Source organism: Homo sapiens, chromosome 9 (genome assembly GCF_000001405.40).
Source record: "Homo sapiens chromosome 9, GRCh38.p14 Primary Assembly".
NCBI classification, from domain to species: domain Eukaryota; kingdom Metazoa; phylum Chordata; class Mammalia; order Primates; family Hominidae; genus Homo; species Homo sapiens.
In genome coordinates this window covers 110,088,206-110,110,021 of record NC_000009.12, presented here as the reverse complement: position 1 = coordinate 110,110,021, position 21,816 = coordinate 110,088,206, and the positions used below count along the sequence as shown (strand labels likewise).

Below are 21,816 nucleotides of genomic sequence, written 5' to 3'. Positions count from 1 at the left end.
CAATAGAGCTCTTGAATTTAGTCCTGCTGCATAATTGAAATTTTATATCCATTGACCAATATCTCCCCAATCCCCCTCCCCTCCAGCCAGTCCCTCTCTCCAACATACTGATCTCATTTCCTTTGGATCTATACCCAGAAGTGGGATTGCTAGGTCATATGGTACTTCTATTTTTAGTTTTTTGAGACTGAACTTTTTTTTTAAAAGAAACTCCTAAACCTGGAATTAAGGGGCCTGGCACCCTTTTCCTGTATCTGTCCCCTTGCTGGTACCTCCACATAGGCATGCCCTTTCCTCTCTCACTCCCAGGCAAATTCATCTATTTTCAGCAAGGATTCAGGTTAAACCTGCTCCCCCTTGAAGTTTCCTGGTGACTGCCCATACCGCGGCAGAATTAGCTGCTCTGCGACCCCTTGCACGTAGTTCTAGAAGACATGTCAAGCTATGGCAGAGCTCCCTGAGGGCAGGGTTTGCCTTCAAGAACTATTCATCAGTACTTGTCAGTTGTGGGCTGTCATTACTGCCCTTCCTAGGGGCTAAGAATGTCACCAGGGAGGCTTTTGTGTTTCCGGGAGGGCTCCAAATACCGCACCCTGAAACATGACCTCCGAAACATGACCTCTGAACCTCAGAAGGCTTCTGAAGTTTTTCTTTTTTTTTTTTTTAAATGTTTCTTTCTTTCTGGTTTTTTTTTTTTTTTTTTGGAGACAAAGATTCCCTCTTGTTGCCCAGGCTGGAGTACAATGGCGAGATCTCGGCTCACCGCAACCTCCACTTCCCGGGTTCAAGCAATTCTCCTGCCTCAGCCTTCTGACTAGCTGGGATTACAGGTATGTGCCACCATGCCCAGCTAATTTTCTATTTTCAGTAGAGACAGGGTTTCTCCATGTCGGTAAGGTTGGTCTCGAACTCCTGACCTCAGGTGATCCACCTGCCTCGGCCTCCCAAAGTGCTGGGATTACAGGCATGAGCCACCGCGCCGGACCGGTTTCTGAAGTTTTAACAACGTACCACCCTGCTGCTTTGAATTACAAGCTTATTATTGCTAATATTCAATAGTATTGAAAAGTTTTGGGTTTTGAGCCCCATGGAGAATAACTCCACCCTAAAATTTTCTCCTAGCACCACAGACTCTGAAATCTGTCAATCCTTTACTTCCCCCTACCAAAAAAAAATTTTTTTTTAAATGCAGGGGCATAATTTTGATACACTTTCTTTTATTGTCGTGCAATATATAACTTAAATTTTGCCATTTTAACCATTTTAAGTGTACAATGCAGTGGCATTAATTATATTCACAATGTTGTGTAACCATTACCACTATTTTGAAGATTTTTTCATCACCCCTTAGACAGAAACTCTGTACTCATTAAGCTATATGGGTCACGATTTTTGAAACATTCTATGAGGCTAATTAGGAAACAGAATCTAGGTAAATGGATTGCACCCCTGTAGCAAACAGGAGAAAAAAGAGTGGTAGGCAGTACAATAGTTATTGATTATATTAGGGTAGTAGAATAACTACCCTATTCCATTTTCTAAATTTTTGGCAATTAATTTTATTATATCTTCTTTTTGGTCTCATCAGCGTACTAGAAAAACAAAAGGCAGCCAGGCGGGGTGGCTCACGCCTGTAATCCCAGCACTTTGGGAGACCGAGGCAGGTGGATCACCTGAGGTCAGGAGTTCAGGACCAGCCTGGCCAACATGGTGAAAACCTGTCTCTACTAAAAAATACAAAAATTAGCTGGGCGTGGTGGCAGGCACCTTAATCCCAGCTACTCAGGAGGATGAGACAGAATCACTTGAACCCGGGAGGCAGAGGTTGCAGTGAGCCAAGATTGCGCCATTGCACTCCAGCCTGGGAGACAAGAGCAAAACTCCATCTCAAAAAAAAAAAAAAGAAAAAAAGAAAAACAAAAGGCACAAAGCAAAAAAAAAAAATAACAGCAAAATAGCTTAATGTATGCAATTGATATTTTCCTGAAAAGTTGTAGGTAAATTAACACTCATCTGCCACTACTTGGAGTTTAAAAAATAAACTTATTTCACTTGTAAAACTCAAGCACAGAATTACAAATTTGCCTCATGTGCACTGTGCTTACATTCACAATATTGTTCATATCAACTTACTCTTATAAAAATAGAGGTTCTGGTAGGGCATGGTGGCTCATGCTTGTAATCCTTAGCACTTTGGGAGGCCGAGGCAAGCAGATTGCCTGAGGCCAGGAGTTCAAGACCAGCCTGGCTAACATGGTGAAACCTCGTCTCTACTAAAAATACAAAAATTAGCTGGGCATGGTGGCAGACACCTGCAGTCCCAGCTACTCGGGAGGCTGAGGCAGGAGAATCGCTTGAACCCGGGAGGAGGAAGTTGCAGTGAGCTGAGATGGCACAACTGCACTCCTGCCTGGGCAACAGAGTGAGACACTGTCTCCCCACTCTAAAAAAAAATTAGAGGTTCTCCTTACTTTTTATTTCATAAATTAGCAATGTAATCATATTATGACCAACAATTCTTAAAGAAAGTAAAAGATACTTGTTTAGAAAGAAAACTATTATCATCTCCACCCCGACTCAATTGATCTAAGATCCTATTTCTAAACTCACATTTTTTCTTTTCTCTTATTTCTAAAATTTACTTATTATATATTACTTGTACATATTTATGGGGTACATAGTGATGTTTCCGTACATACAATGCATACTGATCAGATCAGGGCAATTAACATATTCATCATCTTGAACATTTGCCATTTCTTTGTGTGGGGAACATTCAGTGCCCATCTTCCAGCTATTTGAAACTGTATATTATTGTTAACTACAGTTATTCTATGGTGCTATAGGACACTAAAACTCATTTTTTAAAAAAACCAAACAACTAGAATATTTTTGCATCTTTGTTACCTTCTGCCTGGGTGGAGAGTAAGTCTCCCATAAGAATATATCCCCAATAGATAATGTCAATCAGTGATTAACAGCTCAGTGATAATCCCTTCCCTGAAAAGTCTGTTTTCAGCTTAACCTTCCATCGGGCTAATTGATGACTTATCTTCCATTAGGAGTGCCTTGCACATCAAAGCATTGTTTGGGAACAGAGCAAAAACAGACTGGAGAGAGGGAGACCTCTTTCACCCTGGGGCTAATTGCTGGAATTGAATATTTCCTAATGGAGATAGGGGCTTTTAGTTTAATAAACAAGCCATTTGTTTGGGAACTGAAATGGCAATCCAATTTCTGGACTGTTGACGGATTTAAATGCACATATCCCCTTGTGCACCCATACAAAGCAACATTGCCTTTGTCCTTCAGACCTCTCAAATCCACTCATGGCTGGCTGGCATTCTCTGCTTTTCCTAACCTCCCACCTTACTGCACATGGGTCCTCTCAAGGTACCTGCAATCATGGAGCTGCACTGGGACAATGTAAGCATCAAGCTAAGCACCCATCACCACCCTCTTCTCATCATACTCCTTTGTGCACACCCACAAGGGAGTCCTCTCTTCCCTCTACCTAAAAGGGAAGGTTGTAGCCTTACACATCCCCCCCAGCAACAATGATAAGACCAGCTTGAGGTGGTTAAGAGTATGGCCCTTCCCCTCTAGGCCAGCACTCATTTCACATATTTAGACGCTGCTCTTCTGAGGTTAAAATATTAATAGAATCTTCTTTCTGCCAGCTACCTCTGGACCCAACTCTCTGATTTCTTGTCTCCTGCATAGTCAGCTCTCCCAGGCTATAGTCACAAGTTCTCATTGTGTGGGAGTTGAAGCTGTGACCATCCTGGGTGGTCCCACTTGAGTCTCCATCTCAGAAAAGGCTAACCTGATGGGCCCAAGGTTTTCCTCTCCAAAAATACAAAATCATGTTCGCTAAAGAAGCCAACTCTTACCAATGCAAAATTATGCAGATGTAGCCACTTACTAATTTCTAAAACAACACAGCCTCTTAATGAGTAAGGATATCTGTATTTATATTATGCAAAGTCAGAGTAGTGAATTTGGCTCTAACAGAAAGAATATGAAAAAGAAAATAGGAGCACTACATTAGACAGGATAAAGTGCGTATATATATATAAAACAGCCTAGACTGCCTTGCTTTATTGGTCAGACGCTTCTTTTCTTACAACATTACATTTAATTCCAAAAGACATTAGAATGAAAATCACATAGACTTAAACGCAAAATTAACTAGCTGAGGGAGCTTGCAAGTCTAAAAGGATACTTGTAATAAAGTCAGTTTTCTGTGGATATGCCTGCTGATAAATTTTATGTCCACTCACATTAAAAAGAAAAAGAGAGACCTACTTCCCTACAGTAAAGAGCAATGAAAAATAGTGGTACTTAGGCATCTCATTAGCTCTGTGGGTTAAGCACCAATGAACAGCAGGATATAATTAATAGGGTCAAATATCAGGGGTTTTAAATGGATTAATTTGTAGCCACCAAATGGACCTTATTGAAAATTAACTCCTAATTATTTCTAATGACATATATACAGTATGCGTGCACATGTTGGATAAGTAATGGGAGTCCTTTAAAATCATCACCACCTAATGTCAGTGACAAAACCTGCCCAAAACTTTACAGAAAGATGCAGCTTCTATCAAGTTCACTGAAGTTAATTCAATTCCCAAGTAGGATCTACAAAGCAACCAAGTTTTAAGTAGCAATAATATAAACAACTCTATGTTACCAGGAAACTATAACGTGGGAGCTTCAAGGAATGTATTATGTCACAAGTTCACTCTGCATGCTCTTTTCTGGCAAAAAGTAACCCAAGGGCTTTCTTGCAAGCCAGTCTAAAAAGAAGACAGAGAACATATGCGTTTGAGCTTCTGATTTATTTGGCCTCTAGGTAAAACTCTTTAGAAAACTAACCATTAAAACATATACAGAGCTCTGCCTGAATTAACAGTCTAGAAAGGGGTTCTAGCCTCGTCCTCTGGCCAACTTTGTTTCTCCTGTAAAATGGGGTTACTCTGTAGGATGACACTATATAATCTAAGAAATAATACCACTTAACCTGAGTCAATTTATCAATCTATTAACTAATATCTCAAGTCTGGAGCTTGAGTTCTAGAGAGAAAAGTTCGAGGTAGTCTCTGGATGCATATGACACACCTGTTACCATTTTGTGTTTCTGTAACTCCAGGAAGATAGAATGAATGCTTTGAAGACTTCAGCAGCTTTATGAGATAGCTTGGAGCTATCATCATTACGTTTCACAGATAATTACACAAAGTAGAATTCAAGGTTTGAAACATTCTTACCAGGTGCAAACATCTCAAGTGAGTCCAGGTTTTAAAACACATTCCAACTGAGCGAAGAATCAGGTTTTGAAACTGGTTTCATTCCACATCTGTGAGCTTTGGCAGCCCTCTATCTTGAGTCTGCCTTCTTGGAATTCCTAAGCTTGGCCCATTCTGCTGATCCCAAATATTCAGGTCTGAGGGGTTTCTAGGCCAGTGAAGCTGATAAACTAAGGGTTTATACTAGCTATAAAAACCATCCTTCAGAACTTGATAAGACGAGGTCTCCAGGGTGCTAATGCTTATTTTTCAAGTCACTGGAACACAAGCGAATTAACTGTTAACTGTTTTTACCATGAGTATGTATTGGGAATGCAGAGATTCAAGAACTGCCCTTACAGTAGCTTCCAGTAAGGTACGATTTGTGCTGTGGGAGAAATCTTAAGCATGACCTCATCTGGACCAGTTTCAATTTAACTTTCAATTTGTTTGGGGCTAAACATCTGAAATCCCAACAAAAATCTGGACAGAATCCAGTTTGCGACCAGATTGAACTCAAAATACGATACCTTACCCCCCCGCCCCCCCAAAAAAAAGCAGAAATCTTGTAAGTTTCCTAGGCTGTTCAGTTGCAGACAAAGAGGAAAAAGTAGAACTGTGTGGCCAAGTGACAAACAAACCAGCATATGGGGAACTCCCTGGGGGGCACTCAATAGATTCCACTGTTCCTGGAGGCAAACCCTTGACTGGTCCTAAAGAAGATGTGGCTGACACTCAAACCTGAAATGTTCCAGGGATCACAGCATAGGCCAGAAGACGGGGCAGGTGGATCCACGTTCACGTGGCCAAAAGAGAAGTCTGAACAAGAAAGAAAGACAGATAGATATGAAGGATCTTTTGCCAACATAGCAAAGAATTTCTCTCTGTTCAAAGAGGCTCTGGGAACAAAGGCCCATCTAATTCTGGAGGTCTTGGCCTCAGATAGCATCTCAAATCTCAAACACAAATAAACCTGGTAGGGCAATGTATGTGTGCCACATGGATTCAAAAAAGGACAAAAATTCAGGATAAAAATTCCAGGTAAAGTAGAAAAATCAGCCAGAGGAAAAACTGCAAAGAAGATTTGTAGCAGCAGCCATACTCTACGTTTTAATTCCTAAGTAGAATACACATGAGGTCAAAGATGAAGGATTTATCAAGCTGAATCTTTGGAATTCCCCTCTTCTCTCCTCAAAGAGTCCTCCACAGGCTATTAACACTAAGAATGGCCTAAAAGTGTGGAAACTTGAAGTGAGAGGTGACATGCTCTCCTTGTAAATTTAACACCACCACTAAGAAATGTAAGCTGTTCACTTGCTTAGTGTCTCACTTGCTGCAAGGTTAGCACAAGCTATGCAGTGACTATGAGCTTGAGATCTGAGTACTGTGCTTGGCTTGGCTTTATTCATTCATTCACCAAGGCAACTGAATACCTACTGTGCTTCAGGCACTGTGCTGGGCATCGGGGACACAGGGTGGAGACTAGGCATAGAGCTGCCCTCTCAAAATTTATTGTTGTGAAAAAACAAAACAGAATTACGAACAAACGTAAAATTGCATCTATGAGAAGCGCTCTGAGAGTGCCTACAATAGGAGAGTTTGGGCTACTCAGGGAGGTCAGGGGAGGTTTCCATGAGGAAGGGAAAGCTGAGCTGCCCTCTGAAATCTGGGAAGTGAACTAAGTCACAAAGGGTGGGTAGAAGGCTGTTCCAGGCAGGAGAACCAGCATGCAGAAACCCTGAGATGGGAGTGAAAGAAGTGAGGACAAGAGAGGACAATTAGCAATTGAAGCTGAAAATGCAGAGCACACACAAAACTGTCCTGCAGAGGCAGAAAGAGGCTGGGATGTGGCATCACTGGCTTCGGTGGCTAGGATGGGGTAAGGGGCTCGAGGAGGAAGAAGAGTCTGAAAAGGCAGATGGGGCCAGATCATGTAGGTTTGGGTCTTAAATTTTAAGTGTCATTGAAAGAAAGCATAAGGGATTGGGCTGGGGAATGACGTGGTCTTGTTTTTCTGTCCTAATAGTGACTTGCTGGTCTACCTAAGCCTCCACAAGTCTAGGAGTTGAGCATCTGTTTCACTTGTACTGGGCCCTGGCAGTGCCCAATGGGGAGGGGAGGGGAGGGGAGGAGTGGAGAGGAGGAGAGGTCCAAGCAAGGACTTTGGGATAACAACTCCATGGCCCCAGAAAAGCCAGGCCTAAACTAATTTATTTACTTTTGAATGTCTCATCTTTTTTTCTTGGCTTAATCTTTCAAAATCCAGCTCTGGAGGTAACACAAACAAAAAACATACAAGGTCAACAACACTGGAGGACAAATATATTCTCTGCTTGATAAAGTTTATACTCTAATATTTAATACATATTCATAAATCCCTGTATTATTTCTGAACACATTACATCTAACAGCTCAGTAAATATTGTCTAGAATACAGAAGTAAGCCTAATCCCATTAAGCACTATTCCATTAATAAGGATATTCCTGCTTTAGATGGTGTCAGATTAGCAATGGAGGCTGAAAATGCAGAGGAGACACAAAGCCGTCCTACAGAGGTAGAAAGAGGCTGGGATGTGGCATCAAGATCAAACCAAGATCAAAAACTGGTTTCAAATCTTGGTTTTGCACCTGTTCACTGTTAAGACAAGCTGCTGGACCTCTTGGAGCCTCAGCTTCCTTATCCGAAAATGAGACAAGAGTGTGGTCCTTGGAGTGTCACAGTGCTAAATGAGATCACATATGCAACATGCACAGTGCAGTGCCCATCAGCAGCAGCTCTCATGGTGGTAGACGCATTGGTGGTGGCAGGAGTAATCTGGGAAGACATCCACAGCTCCTTGGGGACCAGTGATCCAACAGGCTGCCTCGTAAGTGGGTCATATGTTATATCCAAAAGGAAAGGGAACAGTGAAAAGGAAAATGTTTCATACAGAGGATTTCCCAGATTAACCTCAGCTGAAATTCCCTTACTTACATTTGAAAGCATGCAAGCAGCTGCAGATGGTTTCAGGCTGGCCCACAGAAGCCAGCTGTGTTTCCCCTCCAGAGAGGCCGTGGGAAATGACAGCAACAGCTGCCCAATGATGTCCAGTGAAAAAAGGCGGCCGCTGTTTGCACCTGAAAGCACGTGGCTTTCTTTGTCTGCCTTGGCCTGGGTTATCCATGGAGATGCGCTGATACATTTCCCTAACCTCTACTTGTCTTTCAGCCCCTGAAAGCGTGTGACTACCTTTGTCTGCCTTGACCTGGGCCATCCATGGAGACTTACTGATATTAATATATTTCCCTAACCTCTATTTGTCTTTCAAGCAGATCAGAAAGTAATGAGGGAGAGAGATTAACTCCCAGCAAAGGTTCTGGCTACACTGATGGGAGTAGGTGGCTAAATTTCTGGACATCCACCCTTGGACACTCAGGAGTGGAGTGGAGGGTGCAGGACCCCAAACACACACAGCAAACCTCCCAGGAGCAGCCCCACATCCTGCGTGTCTTTTTAAAATTTCTGTTTTGGCAAGTTTTGATCCCTAACAGGAGAGAAAAGGCTGAAGCGGGGATAAGACCTGGTAAAAAGACACACACTTGTGCAACGGACCCCAGATGCATTGCAGAGGCTTGGTCTCAAGACCAAGAGCTTCAAATCCTAGAAGCTCTCAAGGGCTTCAAATCCTAGAAGATGTTCACTCTAATCTCTATTCACATTTATCCTATTCTAGATTTCCAGAAAAAATCTGAACATCACTTTGATACCAGGAGGCATCCCATCTTGGCTCTGGGAACATTCTCCTCCAGGCACTCACCTCCCCGGAAGCCACCCTTGGCTCACTCAGCAGAGGCCTCAGACTCTTGCTGAATCCACAGACCAGAATCTTCAAGTCAGCTGGGGGAATCCACCCCTTTTCCAAGTTGAGGGGGGTTTGGGCCAATGTCACATGTCTTTGTCATGTGCCCACTGTAAGAATATCCCAGGAATTGTAGTAGTTATCCAGAAGGATCTCTACAAAGACAGTTGACACAAATTCTAAACACAATCCCCCTGATGCAAAAGAGCCCAGCTGGCCTTCAAGGGGTCGGAGAATAATTTGGGGTTGTTACATATCAGAAGCCAGGTGACATGGTTTCCTGCCTTTCTTAGATACAAGGAGCTTTCCATCTGGGACATAGCAGAGGACTGGCCGTTAAGCCTTCCATTTCCAGTGGCCTTTCTCAGACCCCTACCTCACCCCATGTACACAAAGGCCTTTGTGGGGGAAGGGAATCACCATCTTATAGGAACCAAAACCTGAGCCCATTTTTCATTAAAGGCTTTTGCATTGCTATGATAAGCCACCTCTGTTGCTTCCCCTATGTGACCAAGAAAAGACTAGGTTCAGAGACAAACGCTGAAACATGTAGACAGATATCAGCTTCCTTCTAGAAGTGCAGGGGGTTGCTGCACGTGTTGTTACCACTGTCTCAATCTTCCAGGACGGCAGCAAGGCAGCCTTCACCTTTTCCTAAGCCCAATAATACCCATGCTGCCTTTTTAAACCTTTGCTTGGGTTAAGGTTGAATTTCTTACCCTTCATAAATCAGATGTATAATAGGCTTGAGGTTGTTTGCTGAAAGAAATCTATTCTCCCATTCTCAACTTGATAAAATATTTATGTTTCTATATATATATATATATATATATATATATAGACACACATACATATGCATATATGTTTAAGACACACACACACATATATATATGCATGTTATATGTGTGAATTGAATAATTTTCCTCTGACCACCCCCTCCCCCTCCAGCTCTCGGCTCTCAGAGCTCAATTATATGCCCCAGATGCTACAGTCCTAGAAAATGAGAAAGGAGGGAACAAAGCTAAAAGGTACTTACAACTGGCTTTGTTCCTACTCACAAGAAATACAAATCAATTGAAAGCCCTCTCCATCATAAAAGCGCAAACTGACTATGATTATTACCTGCCATGTCCAAGCAGTTACAGGGCAAGCTATGTGGCCACTTTTCATTTTTCAAATTTTGTTTTCTCGGGACTCCTAAACTGATTCATGCAAAGCAAATGAGATTTCATAATAGACTTTGCTACAATTCCACCCCCTGGGGGCAACCTATTCATTAAATGTCAGTGAGGTAATGCCACCCATCTGCTAGGAAAAGCCTGTGCTGTCTGGGCTGCTGAAAGAAAACGTGCTTCAAGTTCATCTTAGGGAAATGGATGGGCTGGCAGCTTGTACCTTCTTATGTATCCTTCCAAAAGATAGTTGCTCAGACCGCCCAGAAAAACACCTCATTCATAGCTGCCTGGAAACTTGAGTCATTTTTTCCTGATAGCAATTTCACTGGTTCAGGGAAAGCCTTTTCCCTTATCCTAAGTACCAGATGTCAGTAGAAGGAAGAAATCCCAGAAGAAAGCATGTGGCAGAGAACACACAGCAAGCTGCCAGGAGCAGAAGGCTGCAGGGTAACTCTGGATGCACCATGGTTTCTATTTCTACAGAAATTGATTCCGTAGGAAAAACAGCATTACATTTCTAAGGCATTCCTCTCTTCTTATATAGCCTAGATCTTTAGACATGGCTGTGAAATCTCAAGAATGAGTAAGATTTTCTTCCCCATGAAGACAAAATTTGTTATTAGTTTTTGGTAGTGGTGGTGAGCAGAAAAATCTTTAAAGACTGTCCCTGTCTTGCAATAAGAAGTGAACATTTTTAAATGCCAAAAACAGGGGAATTGAAAGTAATCACTTAACTGAAAAAATCTAACTGAAAAATATGTGTTTTATATCCAGAGCTGGGGGAAAGAGGAAGGATGGGGTGGAAATGTTGGCCTGCTTTTCATATAGTGAATTTATATAGGTTATTTGTGATATATTTGTCTGAAGTCTTCGAAAATGTGGAGGTGCGTGGAAATGAGAATACCTGCAGAGAGAGGTGGTGAAGTAGAATGCCAAGGTCCTTAGGTCACGTCACGATTCTTTCTTAAGTTAAACTTTGGTTCTATACCAGGACAGAAAGTGACTTTAGTTTCCAATCTGGATTGCGATCTTCATTTGGATCCCTGACAGTTTGCAAAGAGCTTGGCTGATGTGTCAGAGGACTTGAGTTCTAGAACTATCTCTGCCATTCACTCACCTTGAGCAAGTCACCTGCTCTAGGCCTCAGTTTAAAAGAGCTGTGTCCAGCACATAATAGGTAATCAATTAATTTTTTTAAAACAGCTTCATTGAGATATACTTAATTTACATACCATTGAATTCACCCTTTTAAAGTATACAATACATTAGTTTTCAGTATTTTCACAGGCTTGTGCAACCATCACAGTATGTAGTTTTTGTTGAATAAATGAATGAATGGATTGGAAGTTTAAAGGTAACATGGCTTTAAGTATCACGCACTTTTTATAAGTGAATTCATGTAATCTCACATCTCCTGCAAATCTATGAAACTGGTACTATTATTATCCCATTTTACAGAAAAGTCAACTGACATTTGAGCTCAGGCAGTCTGGCTGCAGAGCCAGCATGCTAAACCAGTTTGAAAATTCTGTGATTCCCTCTCCCCTCTCCCCTCTCCCCTCTTTCCACTGTCTCCCTCTGATGCCGAGCCGAAGCTGGACTGTACTGCTGCCATCTCGGCTCACTGCAACCTCCCTGCCTGATTCTCCTGCCTCAGCCTGCCGAGTGCCTGCGATTGCAGGCACGCGCCGCCACGCCTGACTGGTTTTCGTATTTTTTGGGTGGAGACGGGGTTTCGCTGTGTTGGCCGGGCTGGTCTCCAGCTCCTTACCACGAGTGATCCGCCAGCCTTGGCCTCCCGAGGTGCCGGGATTGCAGACGGAGTCTCCTTCACTCAGTGCTCAATGGTGCCCAGGCTGGAGTGCAGTGGCATGATCTCAGCTCGCTACAACATCCACCTCCCAGCAGCCTGCCTTGGCCTCCCAAAGTGCCGAGATTGCAGCCTCTGCCCGGCCGCCACCCCGTCTGGGAAGTGAGGAGCGTCTCTGCCTGGCCGCCCATCGTCTGGGATGTGAGGAGCCCCTCTGCCTGGCTGCCCAGTCTGGAAAGTGAGGAGCATCTCTGCCCAGCCGCCATCCCATCTAGGAAGTGAGGAGCGCCTCTTCCCGGCCGCCATCCCATCTAGGAAGTGAGGAGCGTCTCTGCCCGGCCACCCATCGCCTGAGATGTGGGGAGCGCCTCTGCCCTGTCGCCCCGTCCGGGATGTGAGGAGCGTCTCTGCCCGGCCACCACCCCGTCTGGGAGGTGTACCCAACAGCTCATTGAGAACGGGCCATGATGACAATGGCAGTTTTGTGGAATAGAAAGGGGGGAAAGGTGGGGAAAAGATTGAGAAATCGGATGGTTGCCATGTCTGTGTAGAAAGAGGTAGACATGGGAGACTTTTCATTTTGTTCTGTACTAAGAAAAATTCTTCTGCCTTGGGATCCTGTTGATCTGTGACCTTACCCCCAACCCTGTGCTCTCTGAAACATGTGCTGTGTCCACTCAGGGTTAAATGGATTAAGGGCGGTGCAAGATGTGCTTTGTTAAACAGACGCTTGAAGGCAGCATGCTGGTTAAGAGTCATCACCACTCCCTAATCTCAAGTACCCAGGGACACAAACACTGCGGAAGGCCGCAGGGTCCTCTGCCTAGGAAAACCAGAGACCTTTGTTCACTTGTTTATCTGCTGACCTTCCCTCCACTATTGTCCTGTGACCCTGCCAAATCCCCCTCTGCGAGAAACACCCAAGAATGATCAATAAAAAAAATAATAAATAAATAAATAAATAAATAAATAAATAAAAAGAAAATTCTGTGATTCTGTTAAAAGAGGCTGACATCGTGACTCATTTATTACATCATTCATGCTATGAATAAAAATATCAATAGCCTTCCCATTTGCATTTATGATGAACTTGCTGTCCTGGACTCACCCCCCCCCAACCCCCCACAAAAAGTCTCTTTCCCAGAAAAAAGCAGGAAGAGCAGAAAGACCACTAGACTGTACACCTCTAGGTGCGGGGATGCATCTCCTCATTTTGGACACATCTTACACACAGTGGAATCACAACAGAAGACTGGCTAGTATGAAAAGAACATTACCTGCCATGTACCACATATGGGTCACCCCAACGTCCCCACCAAGGGGACAGAAGAAAGAGCCAAGGCCAGGCGTGATGGCTCATGCCTGTCATCCCAACATTTTGGGAGGCTGAGGTGGGAAGATCACTTGAGCCTAGGAGTTTAAGACCAGCCTGGGAAACATGGGAAGACCCCCATCTTAATAAATAAATAAATAAATAAATTCAGGCATAATGGTGCATTCCTGTAGTCCCAGCTACTTGGGAGGCTGAGATGGAAGGATCGCTTGAGCCCAGGAGGTTGAAGCTACAGTGACATATGAACCTGCTACTGTACTCCAACCTGGGCAACAGAGCAAGACCCTGTCTTATAAAGACAAAAATCAAAACAAACAAAAAACAGCAAAAAAAGAGAAAGAGCTAGGTGCCTTTGGCAGGTTATTAAACAGAATCTAGATCCAAATCACATTAGCCATCACCAGAGCCAGAGGCCTTTGGACCTGATTCTGACATTAATCATGCAGTTTCCTTTTTGGAACAGTAATAATAAATTGGTCAGGGTAAACCAAGGAGAAACACCTCACCCTCCATACATAGAAAAGGGTATCATGGAACTGCCCAGCTCACTTCACTCAGACACATGCATGCGCTTGTAGATATCACAGGGCTGATGATTCAGTGACTTGATTGAACAATGTTGCACAATTAAGCTGGCAGGGAGGAGGGGAAGACTTAGAGATGGGCTACTTCAACATCATACCAGTCCCAGCCCCAAAAGAGGACAAGAAGCGGCCTGGCCAAGATGGTCCCACTCTAGGAACTCAATACTCCTTCCAAGACCCCTAACAGCTATCACTTTTCCTCTGCTATGGCCAAATGTGATTCAGCCTAGAAAAAAGCAAAAGTCCTAGTACCAGAATATAGCACAAGATGGGGAGGAGGCAATGGAAGGGAAGAATTAATGCAATATATTTTCCTGCTTAGAACGGTCTTCTTCCCCGTCTCCTACTTGCTTTGTGCAATTCCCCAAGAACAAAAAGGCAATTCTTATGCTTGACAGCAGGCCATATGTGATCTGTTTTCATAGCTGAGGGTCCACATGAAATTCCAGGGTTAAAAGGAAACCCAGGCAGAAGCCTGAGTGGCTGAAGGGGAGCTGGCTCCTTTCTGTTTCTAAGGCATTACCACCAACCAAAACACAAGCAGCTCAAGTTGAAGGCGGGCCTCCCCTCCAATCCCCAGTGAAACTCACAAAGCTAGCAAGATTGTGCAAAGCAAGGCTGCGGTGTCCTCTTAATCTGAAATATTCAATAACTAAATAGGTTTCCATCCTGCATCATATATTCAGGATGACCCACTTAGACAATGTCCCTGTTTACATGGTTTTCAGAGACATCTCCATGGGGATTTTCTGAGGTTTTCTGGCAGTCCCTTGTTCCTAGGCAAAAGTCCCAGGGCACAAGGGAACTGCTGCTTTGCACTTAAACTTGGCATAAGAAAAAAAGCCCAGCCGTCAAAAAGGGGACTTAACATTCCTTATTCCTGCTCTCAGAATCGTTGCTTTCTGATTTTGTTTTCTTTCCCATCAAACGTTACCAATCCAGAGTACTACACATACGGTAGGGGGAAAATGTAATGGTCAGAAGTGAGGGCAGAAGTTTTTGCCAGAGGCAGCCAAATAGTGTGGCCAGGCCACCCAGTTCACCATTCAGAATGTAAAATTGGACAATAACTTAGGTAAAAATTGAAAGCAAAAGAACTATGCTAACAATACTTCTTTAATGTTTTCCATTATTTGCTACAGTAAACCCCAAAGCTCTTTTTGCAGAAGAGTGAGAAGACAAAGGCATGGCAAGATAAAGGAGTGATATGGTTTGGATCTGTGTCTCCACCCAAATCTCATGTCGAATTGTAATCCCCAATGTTGGAGGTGGGGCCTGGTGAGAAGTGATTGGATCATGGGGGCAGATTACCCGCCCCCCCGCCCCGTGGTGCTATTCCGATAATAGAGTTCTCACAAGATCTTGTTGTTTAAAAGTATGTAGCACCTCCCCACTCCCTTTCTTCCTGCCCTGGCTATATGAAGTGCTCACTCCCCCTTTGCCTTCCATCATGTTTGTAAGTTTCCTGAGACCTCCCCAGAAGCTGAGCGGATACCAGAACCATGCCTCCTATACAGCCTGTGGAATCATGAGCCAGTTAAACCTCTTGTCTTTATAAATTACCCAGTTTCAGGTATTTCTTCATAGCAATGTGAGAACTAACTAATACAGAGAGCCTCAAGTTTAAGGCTACCTAGCGCAAAGACGAGTACGGCCTCCAGTTGCCTTGTTCATTGGTCACTATCCTAAGAAAATGTATACAATCATCTTTAAACTATTCTCTCCTGAGGAACTACCCTACAGTGGTGCATTGTGGTATTAGACATACAAAGATGCAGATCACACACATGGGCCTCAGCCTAGTGGTGAAGATAAGACTAAAAACAGATGTATCCAACAATGTTGCCAGTGCAATGGTAAGCAGGGTTCTCAACAGCGGTGCTATTGACATTTGGGGCCAGGTGCCTCTTTGTTGGGGCTGTCCTGTGTGCTGTATGAAGGATATTAAGCAGCATCCCTGGCTTCCACCAACTAGTAGCGCTCACCTGTCATGACAATCAAAAATGTATCCCAACATTGCCAAATGTCCCCTTGGAGACAAAACAGCCCTCAGTTGAGACCACTGGGAAAGACGCACAAGGTATCACGAGAGTATAGAAGAGGAATTCTTAAGCCAGAGAGGCATAATCAAAGAATGCTTCTCAGAGAAACTGTCATCTGAACTGAGTCTTAAAAGATGAGTCTGGTCAACGGGAGAGGGATTCCAGGCAGAGGAGAGAGCATGAATAGTGAAGGAAACAGGGTAGTGTGATGCCTTCCAGACTACAAACAGCTCGTTGTAAGGTGCAAGGCAGCAGCAGGGGAGATGAGCCTGGAGAGGGAGATGGGCCCCAGATCACAAATGTCAGGTTTGGGAATCTGGGCTTTATTCTAGATGCAATCACTCTTCACATGATTAGAGTAGCTATGCCAGCCTTGAATCTTCATAAATTCTCATTAAATGTCCCTGATAGCATTTCTATCCAAGACAATATTTCTGCTATTTCAGCAATGGTAATCTTGCTAAATTTTTGGTCAATTGCCAATCTCTGGTATCTTCTTTTTCTTTTCTCCTGGCTTTTTGTCCTTGAAGCCCATTTTTCCTTACTCATTGATCCCTTGACAGACACAGGACCAGTTCTCCTCATGCCCCATCTACCCATCTTAGCCGAGTCCCGCAGTCACTCAATTTCCACTATTTTCCTCCCAAAATATTACATCTCACATCCAGTAAACAGTTGTCATCTCATAAGCCATAAAACAATCAATCAATCAACTATCAATTCTGAAACTTTTGCTTATTTGGAAGGTTAGCCTAGGGTAGGTGTTTATAAAAATTATTTAAAAACAAAGACAACAACTGGCTACATGGCCTGAACGTCCCTGCAGAGGACATGTGTTTTCTTGATCTGACATACATGTCCCTCAATTTCCCTTAAAGAACCACCTCTTCTGCCACTCTCTACCTTCATTCTGCACCGTGGTCTAGGGGGAGCTCTCACTCCTTCAGCTCTAGGAGTGAGCAGGTGACCTAAGTCTGACCAATCAGAGCACTGCCGCTCACCCCCACCCCATCCCTGGGGGTCATAAGGAGCAGGAGAAGCAATCAGAGCCCATGAGACCCCATTCTGAGACTTGTTGGAACTGTACGGAATTGAGAAAGTAGAATAAAAGCCGGAAGCTGCTGTCAGTCACCTTGATACAGCAAGCAAGAGTCTACTAGAGAATAGAACCAACACAGAGGGAAACACAGCTGAGTGGGGAAAGAGAGGCGGATAACATCGTTTGAATTTCTAGATCCCACAATGCCTCAAGTCTATCCCTGTACCTTTACCTTTCAGTGATATTAGCCAATAAATTCCACTTATTAAGCCAGTTTGAGTTATGCAGATTACAGTCCTTCTACAGCATTTCACTGCCCTTAAAACCACACAGAACTAAGCTCACTTAAAAAAAAATCTAAAGTGCAAAAAATTGACTTTTTTCACTTTCAGTATATTCTTTTTACTAACTAAAGTATTTATTACAAATTTCTTTGGGTTTAAAAAAGCATATAATACATTACACAGTTCTACATTCATTAATTAAAATACAAGGAAACAATATTCAGATTGTACAATTTTCCCATTTATAACTTTGAGAAAAGGATAAGTCAATCAGATCTTACTTCTTTTTTTTTGAGGCGGAGTCTCACTCTGTCACTCAGACTGGAATGCGGTGGCACAATCTCAGCTCACTACAGCCTCCACCTCCCGGGTTCATGTAATTCTCCTGCCTCAGCCTCCCAAGTAGCTGGGACTACAGGAATGCACCACCACACCTGGCTAATTTTTGTATTTTTAGTAGATACGGAGTTTCACTATGTTGGCCAGGCTGATCTTGAACTCCTGACCTCAGGTGGTCCTCCCGCCTCGGCTTCACAAAGTGCTGAGATTACAGGTATGAGCCACTGCAACTGGCCAGATCTTACTTCTGACATCTCAGGCAACCTTTCACATGAAAAGTGTCAGACACAGCTGTGCTATTTGTTACAAAAGGGCTTGGCTCCATCTTCAGAAGTGGTAGTAAACTTGATACTCAAACATGCCAATAGAAATTTGAAGCAAAATATATTTAGGGGATCATGGAACTGTTCTTTATCTTGATTGTGGTGATGTTTCCTCAACTGTAAGCATTTATCTAAACTCATAGAGATGTACAGCAAAAAGAATGAATTTCACTATGTGTAAGTAAAAAATAAATAAATCTTGGCTGGGCGCGGTGGCTCACACCTGTAATCCCGGCACTTTGGGAGGCCAAGGCGGGCAGATCATGAGGTCAGGAGATCAAGACCATCCTGGCTAACACGGTGAAACCCCATCTCTACTAAAAATACAAAAAATTAGCCGGGTGTGGAGGCAGGCGCCTATAGTCCCAGCTACTCGGGAGGCTGAGGCAGGAGAATGGCATGAACCCGGGAGGTAGAGATTGCAGTGAGCGGAGATCGTGCTACTGCACCCCAGCCTGGGCGACAGAGCAAGACTCTGTCTCAAAAAAAAAAAAAAAAAAAAAGAATAAATCTCAAAGATTAAAAAGCCCATCACACAGACACACACACACACACACACCCCAACCACCAAGGATCAGAAAAGCAACGAGGATCACACACATTATAAGTCAGCACATGTAAATTTCAGAGTTTTGAAAAGGAAGTTACCTCTCTTTAGTTAAGAGGGTTTTTTAAAAAAATCTTTATTGACCGTAGACAATACCTGATCTTTGTGGACTTGAAAAACCTCACACGTGCAGCTCCATTCTTCATTACACTACTGCATTATCACTACACTGATATAGACAGGATTGCAGTTACCTCACCAACTCTTTGACTTCTAAGAGAAGCACACAAACATAAAACCTGCCCCAAATCCCTGCAAAGTGCCAAGTGCCCGACTAGCAGCAGGTCTGAAACAGAGCTCATGTAGTTGTTTTCAAACCCTAAGGCCATTCTTTAGCTTTACCCATGCCGACCTATGTTGTCAGCATGTTCAAGGTCAATGCAAAAAAAAAAAAATTGAGCTAGATTTTAAAGCATAGCATGTATACCGTTCATACATTCCCAGCTTAACAGCTACGTGCCTAGTTTTTCCACAGTGCATCTAACATTATTACTAAGGGGCTGAGAAATCATCACAGCATTAAAACATCAGGTAAAAAAATCCCAGAGAACATTTCTACTGATGCTTTGCCTCCTTGAAAAATGCTATATAAGTTGAAGGTACTAAGGTATTACAGTAATTACTAGGGAAAAATAAATAATTCACAATAAATTTAGAACTTGAAGCAGATCAGCATTTTTATAGACCTAGAGTTATTCTGCTTTACCTCTCTTAAAGAAATGTTGGCCATGGGAACACAACATTAGCTTTTTAGAACTCCCAGAAACTGAAATGTTTGGGATATGCTTTTTCTCTCTGGGTGACTCAATGCCTTGAGTTCATAAATGCAATGTCCCTGAAGAATAAAAGAGAAATGTGCCTTAATGAGCTTGAGGCATGAAAGGTGTAAGTTCCCTCTGCAGCAAGCAAAAGTCCACAGTAAAAGTAACTGAGACCTACCGTGAAGAGAGAGAACAGCATCCAGGTGGCAATCATGACCTAACTTTCCCTCAGTTATATCTGATCTTCAGAACCCACTGTGCCTACAGCTTCGTCCCAGTTTCCCTTTCTTCAGTAGGACATCCGATGTAAGGACACAGGAACACAGCCCTCTGCCAGGTCACAGGATTTCAGGGGAAGCAGGACTGAGCTCGCATCCTGTACCTGCCCGCACACACCTGGTGGACGCTGCCCCAGGAAGCACACAGGCTGCAATGTGAACCGGCCCGACTTCTCCGGTTCAAAGGTACACTTTGGAACCATGTTACAGCCTTCAAGGGCAAATGAAACAGGAGTCGAGTGTATTTACGTTTACACAGCTACTAATGATCAGATTACATTTTATCAGATCAATTATGATTTGACAAATACTAGCTGTTACTTGAATTCAAATGTAATAGGATAACATGCCCTGGGTAAGCAGTAGGCAGTTGTGGTTTTTTGTTGTTGTTGTTTTAGTTTTCATCTTTTAAAGTCATGATGACTTATAATGTAAACATCAGAAAGTGACCTTCAAGACTTTTCTCCTCCTGTAAAAGGCTGCTGGCTCTCCACGATAAGGAAGAGTCACTGGACACTGTTTACAGTAAAGAGAAGTAACACTATTGGTTCAAACAAAGGCACCTTTACAGAGAGGAAGAAAACCTGTTTAGCAAAGAGGCAGGTGCAAAAAGGGATGAGCATCTTGTGAAACACGATACAAAATGAAGTCAAGGCACAGCCGTTCCTGGTAATGGCATGAGAATACAATTCTAGCCTCCTAAGACACAAAAGTCAAAATCCTATTTTTGTTAAGAATTGTGTTAAGAAGGGATTTTTTTAAACATTGTCCTGTCTTTAAGATTTTAGGTAAAGTATGCTCCTGGTGTCAGAGTTAGGATGTCTGGCTTCCTCCTTCTAAGGCCAAGGGGTAACTGTGACCTCATCCACTGGCCCCTGGAATCAACTAGTACTTATCTCCATCTCAGGACTTGCTGTAGCCATGCCATATTCCTTAATAAAGATCTTTTCATGGCTGGTTTTTACCTGCTTTATATTATCTCTAGAGATCATTTTAATTCCACTTTAAAACATTCTATCAGACATAACTAGTCTTGGCTTCAGCCCCATTTTCAACAAGTGAAATTAAAGGAGGCAGTTCTTTGAAATGCATACATGTGCTCTCCAACAAGTGATCTAGTTTCCCTTTCTTACTGCTTCTCCCATCCGCCTCCCCAGTGCCCTTTCTCCCTATTGCTCTGCACTGCCCATTATGGTGCTCCTAGCCATAGGCTGGTTACTGACTACTTGAAATGTGGCCAGTGTGACTGAGGATCTGATTTTTTAAATTGTATTTAGTTAACTTAAATGCAAACTGTAGGCCGGCGCGGTGGCTCATGCCTGAAATGCCAGCACTTTGGGAGGCCAACGCAGGTGGATCACCTGAGGTCAGGAGTTCCAGACCAGCCTGATCAATAAGGTGAAACCCTAGCTCTACTAAAAATACAAAAATTAGCTGGGCGTGGTGGCTTGAAGCTGTATTCCCAGCTACTTGGGAGGCTGAGACAGGAGAATTTCTTGAACCCGGGAGGCGGAGGTTGCAGTGAACTGAGATCGCATCACTGCACTCCAGCCTGGGCGACAGAGTGACACTCTGTCTCAGAAAAAAAAAAAAAAAAAAAAAAAAAAAAAAAACACGTAAATGCAAACTTTAATAGCTACTTGTGGCCAGTGGCTGGAGAGTGCAGCTATATAGCTCTTTATTTTGAGGCAGGAGAATAGGGTCTAGAGGCAGGGAACCTAAAGCCAATTCACGCTGACTACCTAGAACTGAATCAAAAGGAAAACCTCAACTTTCCACACCAAAGTAACAAAAGGACCAGAACTACTCCCTTTGCAAATCCCCCACCCTTTTCTTGTGTGGCAGATGAAAAATTGAAATTATGTCTGATTGCTCCCTTCCCACAACCAATCAGGTTGGCCTTGGGCCAAATCTTCATTTGCATAGAAGTATAACTTTGTAACTTCACTGCAGCCTCTGATTGGTTGCTTTCCACAATCAGATGTTTGCATAGGGTGTAGCTTTGTAACTTCAGCCTCTGATTGGTCCCCTCCTGCAACCAATCAGACTAATCATGAGCCACTACTTCATTACATAGGGCATACACCAAGTAACCAATGGGAAATCTCTAA

The 21,816-nt window shown here is 43.2% G+C and overlaps 1 protein-coding gene across 15 annotated transcripts in view, besides 2 other annotated features; it reads right to left on the bottom strand.

The window, feature by feature from the left end:
* The window catches only part of PALM2AKAP2 (PALM2 and AKAP2 fusion), a 531,726-nt gene that overhangs the window by 62,491 nt on the left and 447,419 nt on the right, over positions 1–21,816 (bottom strand). The gene's annotated exons all lie outside the window — the stretch shown is intronic.
* Positions 3,399–4,006: an enhancer, noted in NCBI's record as "NANOG-H3K27ac hESC enhancer chr9:112868296-112868903 (GRCh37/hg19 assembly coordinates)". NCBI's record gives its function as "activates a minimal SCP1, AML or CMV promoter by ChIP-STARR-seq in naive H9 embryonic stem cells {active_cell/tissue: H9 hESC(naive)}" and the evidence as "EXISTENCE:reporter gene assay evidence [ECO:0000049][PMID:30033119]".
* Positions 17,046–17,215: an enhancer, noted in NCBI's record as "experimental_104629 CRE fragment used in MPRA reporter constructs". NCBI's record gives its function as "activates a minimal promoter by MPRAs in K562 erythroleukemia cells, with activity observed for both the introgressed and non-introgressed 9:112855172 variant alleles {active_cell/tissue: K562}" and the evidence as "EXISTENCE:reporter gene assay evidence [ECO:0000049][PMID:34662402]".